The following is a 15,895-nucleotide window of genomic DNA, read 5'->3' as shown; positions in this document are numbered from 1 at the left end:
TCCACATCTTCGCCAGATCTGTTATCGCCTGCCTTTATTTACTTATTTTTATTTTTAATTCTTGTGGGTACGTAGTAGGTATATATGGGATACATTAGCTGTTTTGATATAGACATGCAATCTGTAATAATCATATCATGGAAAATGGGGTATCCGTCCCCTCAAGCATTTATTCTTTGTGTTACCAACAATTCAATTATACTCTTTCAGTTATTTTGAAATGTATAATTAAATTATTATTGATGTAGTCTCCCTGTTGTGCCGTCATTAATTCTAAGACTTATTCATTAATTCTATTTTTTGTACCCATTGCCTGCCTTTTTGATACAAGCCATTTTAACTGGGGTGCAATGATATCTCATTGTGGTTTTGATTTGCACTTCTCTGATGATTAGTGATATTGAGCATTTTTTCTTATACCTGTTAGCCATGTGTATGTCTGTTTTTGAGAAATGTCTGTTCAAATCTTTTGCCCACTTTTTAAATCAGATTATTTTTATTTTTTGCTATTGAGTTGTTTAAGCTCCTTATATGTTCTGGTTATTAATCCCTTGTCAGATGGACAGTTTGCAAATATTTTCTCCCATCGTGTGGGTTTTCACTTTGTTGGTTGTTTCCTTTGCTGTGGAGAAGCCTTTTAGCTTGAGGAAGATATTTTTTCAGATGCAACCGCTTCACAGCAGCCCCAAGGAGAGTAGGATTCTTCTCTGCCCTCCCCGTCCTGGGTACAAAGCCCAGGGTTCTCCCCACAGTTTCACTGGAGTTAGGGAGAGCCAGGGAGTCTTGCGGGAGGAGGTACATGCATTTAGTGATTAAAAACAGTTTACACTGAAAACACGTAGGACTTAAAAAGTCTAGTTTCTTCCTTTTCTGTGATTCTTTGGTGACAAAATAAATGGCAGTCACTGCCATGTTGGAAAACTTGGGAGAAACCAGGAGACCAGAAGCTGATTTGTTGTATTTTAGTTTCTCCAAGATGTTGATTTCATTTTTGTTAAAATATCTAAAGTGTTTATATGAAAACCTGTTTCTTGCTAGTTCTTGGTTTACATTCATTTTAACCAGTCAGGGTTTGTTTGTTTTGTTGATCAGAGGTCAGAGTGCTGGCACCCCTTGCAAGGAGCCCTCCCACGGAGTATCTGAAGGGTGGGGTCTTGAGCCAGGTGGGGTCTGGAGCCAGCGTTGAATGCTGAGGCTCCTTGTCGGCCCAGGACTGGGGCCCGGCAGAGCCTGTGGCTGAAGGACAAGAGAGGGAGAGAGTTCCCTAAGCCAATGAACTTGTTCCTCAAGTGCTTATCCTCAGCTCCAGGACAGATGGGGGGATTCCTGCTAGATTGGTGGGCTCCACAGGGGCCAGGACCTCTGGGTGATGTTGAAGAGGAGGTTTGGGGCAGTAGGGGGAAGAGAAAGAATATGTAGGAGGGGCTCATGGGGAAGCATCTTTGGGTCCTTCTCTCCCATGTGGGCACATTGCCAGAAAAGAGGGTCCCCATCCAGACCCCAAGAGAGGGTTCTTGAATCTCTCACAGGAAAGAATTAGAGGTGAGTCACAGAGCACAGTGAAAGAAGCAAGTTTATTAGAAACTACTCCAAGTTTATTAGAAACTACAGAGTGGGGTGCCCTCAGAAAGCAGGAGGAGGAATGCTCGATCCTTTGTTAGTGCCTCTACTCATAAAAATCTGTAGCCGGGCACGGTGGCTCACGCCTGTAATCCCAGCACTTTGGGAGGCCGAGCCGGGTGGATCACCTGAGGTCAGGAGTTCGAGACCAGCCTGGCCAACATGGTGAAACCCTGTCCCTACTAAAAATGCAAAAATTAGCCAGGCATGGTGGCAGGACCCTGTAATCCCAGCTACTCGGGAGGCTGAGGTGGGAGAACTGCTTGAACCTGGGAGATGGAGGCTGTAGTGAGCTGAGATCTCGCCACAGCACTCCAGCCTGGGCAACAGAGCGAGACCTCATCTCTTAAAAAAAACTGTAAGGAGCTATAATTAAACTTGGAATGTGCAGATGTTCTCACTAAAGGTAGGGGTTATTGGTGCTATTAAAGACCATTAATCTTTTAATCTAAGCCTGTTCATTAAGGTTATCTTTAAGTAAAGTGGGCTTCACTCTTAGGGCATCTGGACATCCTGCAGGCTTGGTAGGAGGTGTTCTGTATGGCCATAAATATTCTGTAATTATAATTGGTGGTCAGCTTGGGATGTAGCTATTTTCAGACCATAAGCATTAACCTTATAGGTGCCTTGTGAGTGCCCAGCTATGCACTTTAAGATGTAGTCACTTGGGAGGCCGAGGTGGGCAGATCACTTGAAGCCAGGAGTTTAAGACCAGCCTGGCCAACATGGAGAAACCCCGTTTCTCCTAAAAATACAAAAACTAGCCAGGCACGGTGGCACATGCCTGTGATCCCAGCTAGTGGAAGACTGAGGCATGAGAATCGCTTGAACCTGGGAGGTGGAAGTTGCAGTGAGTCAAGATTGCACCACTGCACTTCAGCCTGGGTGACAGAGTAAGACTCTGTCTCAAAAAAAAAAAAAAAAAAAAAAAAGAGAGAGAAAAAAAGATGTAGTCACTTTAGTCATGATTTATTAAACCAGAAGTTCCTCTCTCTAACAGGTGCTGCTTCTTTTTAAAAACAAATTTTATATTTCTTTTAGAGATGGTATCTTGCTGTATTGTCCAGGCTGGAGGGCCGTGGCTGTTAACAGGTGAAATTCCACTACTGATTAGCCCAGGAATTTTTAATCTGCTCTGTTTCCAACCTGGGTCAGTTCACCCCTCCTTAGGCAACCTGGCAGTCCCCACTCTGGGGAGGTCACCACATTGATGCCAAACTTAGTGCAGACACCTCATCATAGAGCACTATAGCCCAGAACTCCTGGGCTCAAGTGGTTCTCCTGAGATGGACAGGAGGCAGGGAAATACTGGGTAGAAGAGGGCAGTTCCCTGGCAAAAGCCCCACCCTCAAGCCTGGAAACCTGTGACCCTAAATGGGAACAGGCATTCCTGTTTTCACACCCAAATGTTGACTTTTGGCCTGCCGTACCCACCCAATCCTGTACCCATATAAACGCTAAACCCCAGGCTCCATGAGCAGAATAGCTGCTGGGTGGCAGAGCAGTAAGGCGAAGAAAGAGAAGAGAAGGAGCGTCTGAACGTCAAGAGGAGTTCAGCTGGGGATGGCCAAACTCCAGGGGAAGATCATCTTCTCACTACATCCCCTTTCCAGCTCCCCATCCATCCCACTGAGAGCCACCTCCATCAGTCAATAAAATCCCTGCATTCACCATCCTTCAAGTTCACATGACCCGATTCTTCCTGGATGCCAGACAAGGACCCGGGTACTAAGAGGACAGGGTGTAAAAAGCTGTCTGACTCTCCACTAAACTGGTTAACGCTTAGCTGTCTGGGGATGGCAACTGCTAAAAGGGTATTCATTCTAACACTTCCCTAGAGGCTACTGATACTGAAGTGCTGGGAAGGAAAGAGCATGGTCCTTTTAAATGATATGGAAGTGGGGAATGGAAGGGCTGGGTAGAGGAGGGCATGGTGCCTGGCTAGGACTCTACCCCCACAGACCTAGGTGAGGACAGGCACATCTGTCTTTGTGCCCAAATGTTGCATTTTCCAAGACCACTCTGGCCTGCCACACCCCCATCCTGTGCCTATAAAAACCCCTGAAACCCTAGCAGTCAGATACACAAGTGGCTGGACATTGTGAGGAACACATTGGTGGAAAAAGACACAGGTGGCTGGACGTTGAGAGGACATCGAGGGGAGCACTCTGGCGGAAGAGCACACCAACAGATGCCAGCATGCCGCAGGCCATTGACCAGCAGAATGACACAGAGTTTGGCTGGGGCAGTCAGAGGAGAGCCCAGGTCCCTGAGCTGCCTGACTCCAGGAAAAAGCCATCTCCCTTCTGGCTCCCCCATCTGCTGAGAGCTACTTGTACTCAATAAAACCTTGAACTCATTCTCCAAGCCCACATGCGATCCAGTTCTTCCAGTACACCAAGGTAAGAAACTCCGGGATACAGAAATCCCTCTGTCCTTGTGATAAGGAAGAGAGTCTAATTGAGCTAACACAAGCCACCTGCAGATGGCTAAATTAAAAAAGCGCCCTGTAACACATGCCCACTGGGGCTTTAGGAGCTATAAACACTCACCCCTACACACTGCCATGAGGTTGCAGCCCCACAACCTGCCCGTCTGTATGCTCCCCTAGAGGTTTGAGCAGTGGGGCACTGAAGAAGCAAGCCACTCCCCTGTCACACGCCCTGTGAGGGGGACAAGGGAACTTTTCCTGTTTCACTACTATGCGGCTGGAGCCCAAAAGCACTCATCCCAGCTCCTGCACCTGTCTGTCTGCATGTTTCCCCCTCTTGTAAGGGGTTTGAGTACATGGTGGCCAAGCAAACAGGCCACACCCTTGTTGCAAGTCCCGCGAGAGGTTCAGAGAACTCTCCCGTTTCACTCCTGCCTCAGGCCTCAGCCACCACAGTAAGTGGAACTCTATACCTCCACCTCGCCTGGCTGGGTGGAGCCTCTAAACTCAGGATTCTGCCTTGAGCTGTGGCTCTCCCCTCAGGTTGACAGGGTCCAGAGCAAAACCTACGGAAGAAGCTGCAGAGGCCAGGTGGAGGGAAGGATGCTGAACTGGAGGAGGCCAGGAAATTATGAGGTGGGTGAGTTGGCATCATCTTCAGGTTGGTCTGTGTGGGCCACTGAGCCCAGAGTTTTCATGCTTGCCCCCTGAAATCCTAATTTTATCTTAGAGCATGTGTTTTGCAAGGAAGGTCCAATGGGCAGTGGAGCATGCCTGGGGCTTGGAGTCTCTGTTCCTGCACTGTCTGCCTCCCAGGGCCTCTCAAGGACTGTTCCTAGCTGCCTCCTGTGCCTGAGTCTGACCCAGCTCCCCCTGGCCACCTGCCCTGGGATCCTGGCTGTCCTCAGCCTGAGTCTGCGACAGGATATGTGGTAGAGGCGTGATGTCTGTGTTTCTGTGTTTTGCCTTCGCTCTCTGCCCCATGGGGGACTGAGTGCAGGAGTGGAAACAGTGGAGCCAGGTGTGCTGGGTGTGGCATCTCCGGGTGAGGGTAGGTGATGGCCACCCCCTCCCCATGCTGGCTCTTCCTGGTGTGCTTGCAGGAACCTGGTGAGGGTTCTTGCTCATCCCCTCATCTAAGTGCCAAGTGCATGGGTGCAGAGGTTGCAGTCCCTTTGGTTCTCTGTCCGTGTGGGTTTGGGAGGCAGGCCCTGGGAAGGGGAGATCGACTTCCCCGTTCTTGTCAGTCACTTGTTTATTTTGGACTGGGCTCTGCAAGTTCTACCCAGGCCTGGTTAGCATCAAGGAAGACTGGTAGCTGGGGCTCCAGTGGAGGAGCAAGCAGGGCTGTGGGAGATGGGAAGTTTGGAAAAGGCGAAAGGCAGAGCCCAGAAGGGCTGGGCCTTCCTGGTCCGGGGCTGCAGGTGCTGGGGAAGTGAAGATCCTGCACAGGTGGTCACGATGAGGAAAAGCCAATAAGCAAAGGGCCAGGCAGGCTTAGAGAACACTGACAGAGGGCTCAGTGATTAGAGGGTTGCTTTCAGGGCTCTGCTGAAAGGCTGAGAAGCAGCGGGCATCCGGGGAGAATGGATCAGGTGAGAGGAGTTGACTGAGTGGGTCCACAGTGGGGATCAGGACGTGGTGAGGACATCCCCTTCACCTTGAAGTTACGGCTCCTGCAGAGGGAGGGAGGGAGGCAGAGAGGGTGCCTGGGGCTGGAGATGTCAGGCTGAGCATTCTGCATGGAACTTTGGTGGGACATTCTTCGGTGCCATCCAGTTCCCCTCCCCTTGTGCTGGCTGGTCACTGTGAAAGCTAAGCGAATTCCGTTCCCCAAGAAGAGGACATAATTCTTGTGAATCCTAAAGGTGGTAAGAACAGGAAATATGATTACATTTTTTAAAGTTTGGATTAATTTATGAAGGACTTGAAACTGACCCAGTAGTTCTACACATTTATTTACTTATTTAACATAGAAATTGACCCTCTTGGTCTTAAAGCCTGAAACTTAATATTTATCTGAGGTCTTTCCTCAGGAAAGGACCCCCAGGCCTCTGAAAAAGTATCAGAGAACTGAAACTCACCAGATCTTTGCATGCAGTAAGACTCCAGGCCTCTCATTCATCATGATTGCTTCTTTACTGAGTTCCTGTTTTCTCATACATTGTTACATTTCTTCCCTGCTACGGAAGAAACCTATGGAAGGAGCTGCTGAGGCCAGGTGGAGGGAAGGATGCTGGGCTGGAGGAGGCCAGGAAATTATGTACGTTGTTACATTTCTTCCCTGCTATATAAACTCCTAATTTTAGTGGTCAGAGAGATTGATCTCTCATTTCCTCAGCTGTAGCACCTGATTATCGCCTTCTTCCTTGGCAAGAATGGTCATCTCAGTGATTGGCTTTCTGTGCAGGGAACAGCAGGACCTAGACGGAACCCCTGGTGTTTTGGTGATAGACTTAAGAGCATAGGGTCCCAAAGAGTGCCAGTGATACACCTGAGGTGTCAACCTCACCCCTTTTTAGAGTTGGTGGCATGGAGGACAGCCGGTTGGTTTCTACAGGGCCCTGTCCCTCAGAGCTTCTGTTCGTGACTGTGTCTAGAGATGGCCAATGCAGCAATCCACGTGTTTCCGAGTCACTTTGTCGCATGACCCAATGGCTGCTATTTGCTCCTCCTCCTCAATCGTCGCAGAATAATAGTTGTCTTCTTGAGAAGATTAAGTGAATATTTTCTCCCAACCCAATTGCATAATGCAGCACAGATGTCAAGGCAAATAACTTTGATTCAGAACAAGTTCAGCTATCTGCTTTGCTCTGTCTGCTGGTTTCATGTTTTCAAGATGATTCACATTAACTCATCTTTCTTTCCCATATGTCCAGACTTGTGTTTTACAACACCAGACGGGGATACTAATTAAACTTTACAGTTCGCTGCAGCGTGCGTAAACTGAGATTGGTAATGACAGGCCTGGCAGTAATCAATATATCTGCTGCACTTGTAATGATTTAACGCGAGTGCCATGGTTACTGCTTGGAATAAAAGTGAATAAGCTCTACTGTAAATTTAATTTAGGGGAGTTATAACTTGATCACTCAGAAATATATTCTAGCAGCTCCTTGTATTTTTGACAAAGCCCAGGGCGTGCTTCTAGCAAGATCTGTGATTTAACCAGGAACATTTAATTTACAATGAGGTATATAATAGGTGACATCTGCCCCCTGGCCCAGCTTCAGAAAAACCAGCAGAAGGCTGTGGACAGCCATACAGAAGTCAGAAGTAATAAACTAGATATATACAGCAATTTTAAATCTCATATCAACCCTAGTTAAAAAAATTATTTCACATTTATTGTAAGTTATTCCATCCATGAATTAGAAGTCAAACTCTAGCAAAGTCACGTTCAGGCCAGTTCAGAGTAGAGATAGCTTCTCTGAAACTGCATTCAGGGGTAGTGAGGTGTCATTTCTGCTCCACATCCTTGAAAAGGGTTTGGTGTGTGTTACTTTGCAGAATGGGAGGGAAAGCCTCTGACCTTTGTCCTTTAATTTCCTTCAGTTCTGTAATATGAGGAACATTATTGCATTTAAACGAACAGAAATGCTGTACTGCAAGCTCTCCTTTCACATTGTCTTTGCCCACTTACTAATATTGATTGATTGATTGACTGTATTAGCTGTTACATTTCCTGCCATACAGCCATGCCTCTACCCTTTGCATTCCTGATTTAGTTGTGCTACCTGCAACCAGCCTCTTGTATTCTCTCTTGTGCTCTCTCTTTCTCTCTCTCTCAGTTCCCCTAAGGGGCTAGGAGTTGAGTTGATGATACTTTTCAGAATATGGCATTTTATCAATAGGCTATGCAAGGTCTCTCTTGCTTTATTTTATTTATATCTCAACCCCACTCCCATTCCTTCTCCCCTCTAGATAATGACTATATTTTATTTTATATATAACATATTTCAGAAGGATATGTACATATACATATCCTAAATTTTTCAGGTATCTATAGTTCTGTGTACGTTTTTAACTTTTAATAATTTACATTATTTTATGACTTTTTGTTTCTTGGTTTATTCACTTTGTACTGTATTTTTAAGATAGAAGATTTAATATTGCTGTGTATGTATCTACTTTATTATAATGGCTTCTGACCTCTGTATGATTTTGCATAGCACGTGTCTACCTTATTTTACATAAACCTTGGGTGTCTACAACTCCCGGTTATCACTGACAGTCCTATGTGTGTCTCATACCTTTCCCCTTATGGACCTTTGCAGGAACTTCTCTGGGGAATTACCCTAGGGTTGGGTTTCTGTTCATTAAAAAAGATTGTTTTAAAGCTATAATTTATGGAGCGCTTACTATGTCAGGCACTGTTCTAAGCACTTTATAGGTATTGACTAATTTAATCTTTACAATAACCCGACGTGGTAAGTTACATCATTATCCCCATTTTGCAGAAAAAATAAAGCCAAAAAAGATCAAGAAGCTAGTAAGTGGTAGTGCAGAGTTTCAAAAACTGTGATGCTGGCTAGATGTGGTGGCTCATGCCTGTAACTCCATCACTTTGGGAGGCCGAGGTGGGTGGATCACCCGAGTTCAGGAGTTCAAGACCAGCCTAACCAATATGGTGAAACCCCGTCTCTATTAAAAATACAAAAATTAGCTGGGCGTGCTGGCGGTTGCCTGTAATCCCAGCTACTTGGGAGGCTGAGGCAGGAGGATGGCTTGAACCCGGGAGGTGGAGGTTGCAGTGAGCCGAGATTGCACCACTGCACTCCAGCCTGGGTGACAGAGCGAGACTCTGTCTCAAAAAAAAAAAAAAAAAAAAAAAAAACTGTGATGCTGTACTTACATTCAAATCACTGCTACACTCACCACCGAGGTGAGCAGCCTCGAACATGACTTTTACCCAGCAGTGGGTTCATTAAGTTGCAACATATGTATGCATGTGTGTGTGTGTGTATGCGGGTGTGTTTATGTGTGCATATGTGTCTCTCTCTATAAAATTCTACTTACTACTGCCGCATGAATTTCCTCAATGGTTATACCCCATTTACTTTCCCTCCCAAAGAGCAACAGGGAGTTCACTATCCCCACATTCTCCACCAACACTTATCATAGACTGTACAATAATTATTCAGCTGTGCACATTTTGTATCTTTTGAGTTTCTTTCAGCTATAGTTTTTAGTGTTTTATCTGATTGTTCTTTACAACTGCTGTTTCTTGCTTTGTTGAATATTTTTTCTTCTGGGACGATATTTTTAAACTTGTTTAGATTTTTGCATCTGTCCCCATAATGCCAGTTCAAGTACTGGCTGCTCAATATGTTTCATTTCTAGCAGTTATCTTTCCCAAATGCCTGGTGTTTCCTTTTCCCTCTGTGAGCTCATTTTCCCCTGGAGGTGTTAGCCATGATCCCTCAGGAGGACAGGTGCAGTTCCTGGTGAGTTCAAGGCAGGAGGAAGTCCTGCTGCAGAGCAGGGATCCTGTGGTTTGGAGTCTGGATGGATTTCCCTCACTCGTGCCCCTCAACCAAGCTGATTTTAATCAGCTCCTACACTGCCCCCCAACCTTTTTGTTTTCTTGAGACAGAGTCTCACTCTGTCGCCCAGGCTGGAGTGCAGTAGCGCGATCTTAGCTCACTGCAACCTCCGCCTCCCAGGTTCAAGTGATTCTCGTGCCCCAGCCTCCAGAGTAGCAGAGTAGCTGGGATTACAGGAGCCCACAACCATGCTCGGCTAATTTTTTGTTTGTTTGTTTTTGGTAGAGACGGGGTTTCACCAGGTTGTCCAGGCTGTTCTCAAGCTCTTTACATCAAGTGATCCATCCACCTCAGGCTCCCAAAGTGCTGGGATTACAGGCATGAGCCACCGCGCCCAGCCTACACTGCCTTTTGATTGGCCTTGGGGATTGCTGAAGAACAGAGGAGCTGGGCTTTTAACTGGAATTTTATTTTATTTTTTAACATATATATATAGTTATACATTAAGTTCTGGGGTACATGTGCAGAACGTGCAGGTTTGTTACATAGGTATACACGTGCCATGGTGGTTTGCTGCAGCCATCACCCAGTCATCTACATTAGGTATTTCTTCTAATGCTATCCCTCCCCCAGCTCCCAACCCTGAGAGGCCCCGGTGTGTGATGCCCCCCACCCCTGTGTCCATGTGTTCTCATTGTTTAACTCCCACTTACGAGTGAGAACATGTGGTGTTTGGTTTTCTGTTCCTGAGTTAGTTTGCTGAGAATGATGGTTTCCAGCTTTGTCCATGTCCCTGCAAAGAACACGAACTCATCCTTTTTTATGGCTGCATAGTATTCCATGTTGTATATGTGCCACATAGAACATGAACTCATCCTTTTTTATGGCTGCATAGTATTCCATGTTGTATATGTGCCACATAGAACATGAACTCATCCTTTTTTATGGCTGCATAGTATTCCATGTTGTATATGTGCCACATTTTCTTTATCCAGTCTATCATTGATGGGCATGTGGGTTGATTCCAAGTCTTTGCTGTTGTGAACAGTGCTGCAATAAACATGTGTGCCTGTGTCTTTATAGTAGAATGATTTATAATCCTTTAGGTATATACCCAGTAATGGGGTTGCTGGGTCAAATGGTATTTCTAGTTCTAGATCCTTGAGGAATCACCACACTGTCTTCCACAGTGGTTGAACTAATTTACACTCCCACCAACAGTGTAAGAGTCTTCCTGTTTCTCCACATCCTCTCCAGCATCTGTGGTTTCCTGACTTTTTAATGATCACCATTCTAACTGGCATGAGATGGTATCCCATCATGGTTTTTATTTACATTTCTTTGATGACCAGTGATGATGAGCTTTTCTCATATGTCTGTTGGCTGCATAAATGTCTTCTTTTGAGAAGTGTCTGTTCATATCCTTTGCCCACTTTTTTATGGCATTGTTTTTTTCTTGTAAATTTTTTTTTTTTTTTTTGAGACGGAGTCTCGCTCTATTGCCTAGGCTGGAGTGCAGTGGCATGATCTCGGCTCACTGCAAGCTCCACCTCTTGGGTTCACACCATTTTCCTGCCTCAGCCTCCAGAGTAGCTGGGACTACAGGCGCCTGCCACCATGCCTGGCTAATTTTTTGTATTTTTAGTAGAGATGGGGTTTCACTGTGTTAGCCAGGATGGTCTCGATCTCCTGACCTCATGATCCGCCCACCTCAGCCTCCCAAAGTGCTGGGATTACAGGCGTGAGCCACCTCGCCCGGCCTCTCTTTTCTTCTTTATTAGTCTGGCTAGCGGTCTATTTTGTTGATCTTTTCAAAAAACCAGCTCGTGGATTCATATTTTTTGAAGGATTTTTCGTGTCTATCTCCTTCAGTTCTGCTCTGACCTTAGTTATTTGTTGTCTTCTGCTAGCTTCTGAATTTGTTTGCTCTTGCTTCTCTAGTTCTTCTTCTTTTTTTTTTTTTTTTTTTTTTGAGACAGAGTCTTGCTCTGTTGGCCAGGCTGGAGTGCAGTGGCACAATCTCGGCTCACTGCAACCTCTGCCTCCCAGGCTCAAGCAATTCTCCTTTCTCAGACTCCTGAGTAGCTGGGATTACAGGTGTGTGCCACCACGCCTAGCTAATTTTTGTATTTTTAGTAGAGACGGGGTTTCACCATGTTGGCCAGGCTGGTCTTGAACTCCTGACCTCAGGCAATCTACCCACTTTGGCCTCCCAAAGTGCTGGGATTACAGGTGTCAGTCACCGTGCCTGGCTTTCCCTAGTTCTTTTAATTGTGATGTTAGGGTGTCGATTTTAGATCTTTCCTGCTTTCTCTTGTGACCATTTAGTGTTATACATTTCCCTCTACACACTGCTTTAAATGTGTCCCAGAGATTCTGGTACATTGTGTCTTTGTTCTCATTGGTTTCAAAGACCATCTTTATTTCTGCCTTCATTTCGTTATTTACCCAGTAGTCATTCAGGAGCAGGTTGTTCAGTTTCCATGTCATTGTGTGGTTTTGAGTCAGTTTCTTAATCCTGAGTTCTCATTTGATTGCGCTTTGGTCTGAAAGACTGTTTGTTATGAGTTCCATTCCTTTGCATTTGCTGAGGAGTGTTTTACTTCCAATTATGTGGTCAGTTTTAGAATAAGTGCGACGTGGTGCTGAGAAGAACGTGTATTCTGTTGATTTGGAGTGGAGAGTTCTGTAGATGTCTATTAGGTCTGCTTGGTCCAGAGCTGGGTTCAAGTCCTGGATATCCTTATTAATTTTCTGTCTCATTGATCTAATATTGACAGTGGGGTGCTAAAGTCTCCCAATATTACTGTGTGGGAGTCTAAGTGTTTTTGTAGGCCTCTAAGAACTTGCTTTATGAATCTGCGTGCTCCTGTATTGGGTGCATATGTATTTAGGATAGTTAGCTCTTCTTGTTTCATTGATCCCATTACCGTTATGTGTAATGCCCTTCTTCGTCTCTTTTGATCTTTGTTGGTTTAAAGTCTGTTTAAACAGAGACTAGGATTGCAAATCCTGCTTGTTTGCTTTCCATTTGCTTGGTAAATATTCCTCTATCCCTTTATTTTGAGCCTATGTTTTTCTTTGCATGAGATGGGTCTCCTGAATACAGCACACTGATGGGTCTTTTTTTTTTTTTTTTTTTTTTTGAGATGGAATTTCGCTCTGTCACCCAGGTTGGAGTGCAGTGGCGTGATCTCGGCTCACTGCAAGCTCTGCCTCCCGGGTTCATGCCATTCTCCTGCTTCAGCCTCCTGAGTAGCTGGGACTACAGGCACCTGCCACCACGCCTGGCTATTTTTTTTTGTGTGTGTGTTTTTTAGTAAAGACGGGGTTTCACCATGTTAGCCAGAATGGTCTTGATCTCCTGACCTTGTGATCCACCCTCCTTGACCTCCCAAAGTGCTGGGATTACAGGCATGAGCCACTGCACCTGGCCCACAATGGTCTTGACTCTTTATCCTATTTGCCAGTCTGTGTCTTTTAAATGGGGCATTTAGCTCATTTACATTTAAGGTTAATGTTGTTATGTGTGAATTTGATCCTGTCATTATGATGCTAGCTGGTTATTTTGCCCATTAGTTGATGCAGTTTCTTCATTGCACAGATGGTCTTTACAATTTGGTATGTTTTTGCAGTGGGTGGTACTAGTTTTCATTTCCATGTTTAGTGCTTCCTTCAGGAGCTCTTGTAAGGCAGGCCTGGTGGTGACAAAATCTCTCAGCATTTGCTTGTCTGTAAAGGATTTTATTTTTCCTTTGCTTACGAAGCTTAGTTTGACTGGATATGAAATTCTGGGTTGAAAATTCTTTTCTTTAAGAATGTTGAATATTGGCCCCCACTCTCTTCTGGCCTGTAGGGTTTCTGCTGAGAGATCCGCTGTTAGTCTGATGGTCTTCCCTTTGTGGGTAACCTAACCTTTCTCTGTAGTTGCCATTAACATTTTTTCCTTCATTTCAACTTTGGTGAAACTGATGATATGTGTCTTGGGGTTGCTCTTCTCCAGGAGTATCTTTGTGGTGGTCTCTGTATTTCCTGAATTTGAATGTTGGCCTGTCTTGCTTGGTTGGGGAAGTTGTCCTGGATAATATCCTGAAGAGTGTTTTCCAACTTGGTTCCATTCTCCCTGTCACTTTCAGGTACACCAATCAAACATAGTGTGTCCAGAATTTGTGGGTTCTTGGTCTCACTGACTTCAAGAACGAAGCTGCGGACCCTCACGGTGAGTGTTACAGCTCTTAAGATGGTGCATCTGGAGTTTGTCCCTTCTGATGTTCAGATGTGTTCGGAGTTTCTTCCTTCTGGTGGGTTCGTGGTCTCGCTGGCTCAGGAGTGAAGCTGCAGACCTTCGCGGTGAGTGTTACAGCTCATAAAGGCAGTGTGGACCCAAAGAGTGAGCAGTAGCAAGATTTATTGCAAAGAGCGAAAGAACAAAGCTTCCACGGTGTGGAAGGGGACCCGAGCGGGTTGCCAATGCTGGCTCGGGCAGCCTGCTTTTATTCTCTTATCTGGCCCCACCCACATCCTGCTGATTGGTAGAGCCCAGTGGTCTGTTTCGACAGGGCGCTGATTGGTGCGTTTACAATCCCTGAGCTAGACACAAAGGTTCTCCACGACCCCACCAGATTAGCTAGATACAGAGTGTCCACACAAAGGCTCTCCAAGGCCCCACCAGAGTAGCTAGATACAGAGTGTCGATTGGTATATTCACAAACCCTGAGCTAGACACAGGGTGCTGATTGGTGTGTTTACAAACCTTGAGCTAGATACAGAGTGCAGTTGGTGGATTTACAATCCCTGAGCTAGACATAAAGGTTCTCCAGGTCCCCACCAGACTCAGGAGCCCAGCTGGCTTCACCCAGTGGATCCCGCACTGGGGCTGCAGGTGGAGCTGCCTGCCAGTCCCGCGCCGTGTGCCTGCACTCCTCAGCCCTTGGGTGGTCAATGGGACTGGGTGCCGTACAGCAGGGGGCAGTGCTCGTTGGGGAGGCTCGGGCTGCACAGGAGCCCACGGAGGGGGTGGGAGGCTCAGGCATGGTGGGCCGCAGGTCCTGAGCCCTGCCCCACGGGAAGGCAGCTAAGGCCCAGTGAGAAATCGAGCGCAGCGCCGGTGGGCCGGCTCTGCTGGGGGACCCAGTATACCCTCCGCAGCTGCTGGCCCGGGTGCTAAGCCCCTCATTGCCCGGGGCCGGCAGGGCCGGCTGGCTGCTCCGAGTGCGGGGCTGCCAAGCCCACGCCCACCCAGAACTCCAGCTGGCCTGCAAGCGCCGTGCGCAGCCCCGGTTCCCGCTTGCACCTCTCCCTCCACACCTCCCTGCAAGCTGAGGGAGCCGGCTCCGGCTTTGGCCAGCCCAGAAAGGGGCTCCCACAGTGCAGCGGTGGGCTGAAGGGCTCCTCAAGTGCCGCCAAAGTGGGAGCCCAGGCAGAGGAGGTGCTGAGAGCGAGCGAGGGCTGTGAGGACTGCCAGCACGCTGTCACCTCTCAGTAGGTTTGGTCTTTTCACATAGTCCCATATTTCTTGGAGGCTTTGTTCATTTCTTTTCATTCTTTTTTCTCTCATCTTGTCTTCTCGCTTAATTTTATTGAGTTGACCTTCAATCTCTGATATCCTTTCTTTTGCTTGATCGATTCGGCTTTTGATACTTGTGTATGCTTCACGAAGCTCTTGTGTTGTGTTTTTCAGCTGCATCAGGTCATTTATGTTCTTCTCTAAACTGGTTATTTTAGTTAGCAATTCGTCTAACCTTTGTTCAAGGTTCTTAGCTTCCTTGCATTGGGTTAGAACTTGCTCCTTTAGCTCGGAGGAATTTGTTGTTGCCCACCTTCTGAAGCCTACTTCTGTCAATTCGTCAAATTTATTCTCCATCCACTTTTTTTCCTTTGCTGGCGAGGAGCTGTGATCCTTTGGAGAAGAGGCGTTCTTGTTTTTTGAATTTTCAGCCTTTTTATGCTGGTTTCTCCCCATCTTTGAAGATTTATCTACCTTTCATCTTTGATGTTGGTGACCTTCGGATGGGGTCTCTTGAGTAGACATCCTTTTTGTTGATGTTGATACTATTCCTTCTGTTTGTTAGTTTTCCTTCTAGCAGTCAGGCCCCTCTACTGCAGGTCTGCTGCAGTTTGCTGGAGGTCCACTCCAGACCCTGTTTGCCTGGGTATCACCAGTGGAAGCTGCAGAACAGCAAAGACTGCTGCCTGTTCCTTCCTCTGGAAGCTTTGTCCCAGAGGGGCACCCTCCAGATGCCAGCCAGAGCACTCCTGTATGAAGTGTCTGTCGGCCCCTACTGGGAGGTGTCTCCCAGTCAGGATACATAAGTGTCAGGGACCCACTTGAGGAGGCAGCCTGTCCCTTAGCAGAGCT

The 15,895-nt window shown here is 46.5% G+C and overlaps 1 long non-coding RNA gene and 1 pseudogene across 1 annotated transcript in view; one reads left to right on the top strand and one right to left on the bottom strand.

Moving 5' to 3' along the window:
- Positions 2,669-2,937, bottom strand: RN7SL72P (RNA, 7SL, cytoplasmic 72, pseudogene; annotated as a pseudogene).
- LOC105375554 (uncharacterized) overlaps positions 4,479-15,895 on the top strand; it is a 55,130-nt gene continuing 43,713 nt past the window's right edge. The window contains exon 1 of the long non-coding RNA XR_928094.2: positions 4,479-4,687. This is a non-coding gene — a long non-coding RNA (uncharacterized LOC105375554). The remainder of the gene's footprint in view (positions 4,688-15,895) is intronic.

The sequence above is a fragment of the Homo sapiens genome, chromosome 7 (assembly GCF_000001405.40).
Source record: "Homo sapiens chromosome 7, GRCh38.p14 Primary Assembly".
Classification (NCBI taxonomy): domain Eukaryota; kingdom Metazoa; phylum Chordata; class Mammalia; order Primates; family Hominidae; genus Homo; species Homo sapiens.
The sequence above is the reverse complement of the archived record's forward strand: the minus strand, read 5'-3'. Positions and strand labels throughout refer to the sequence as shown.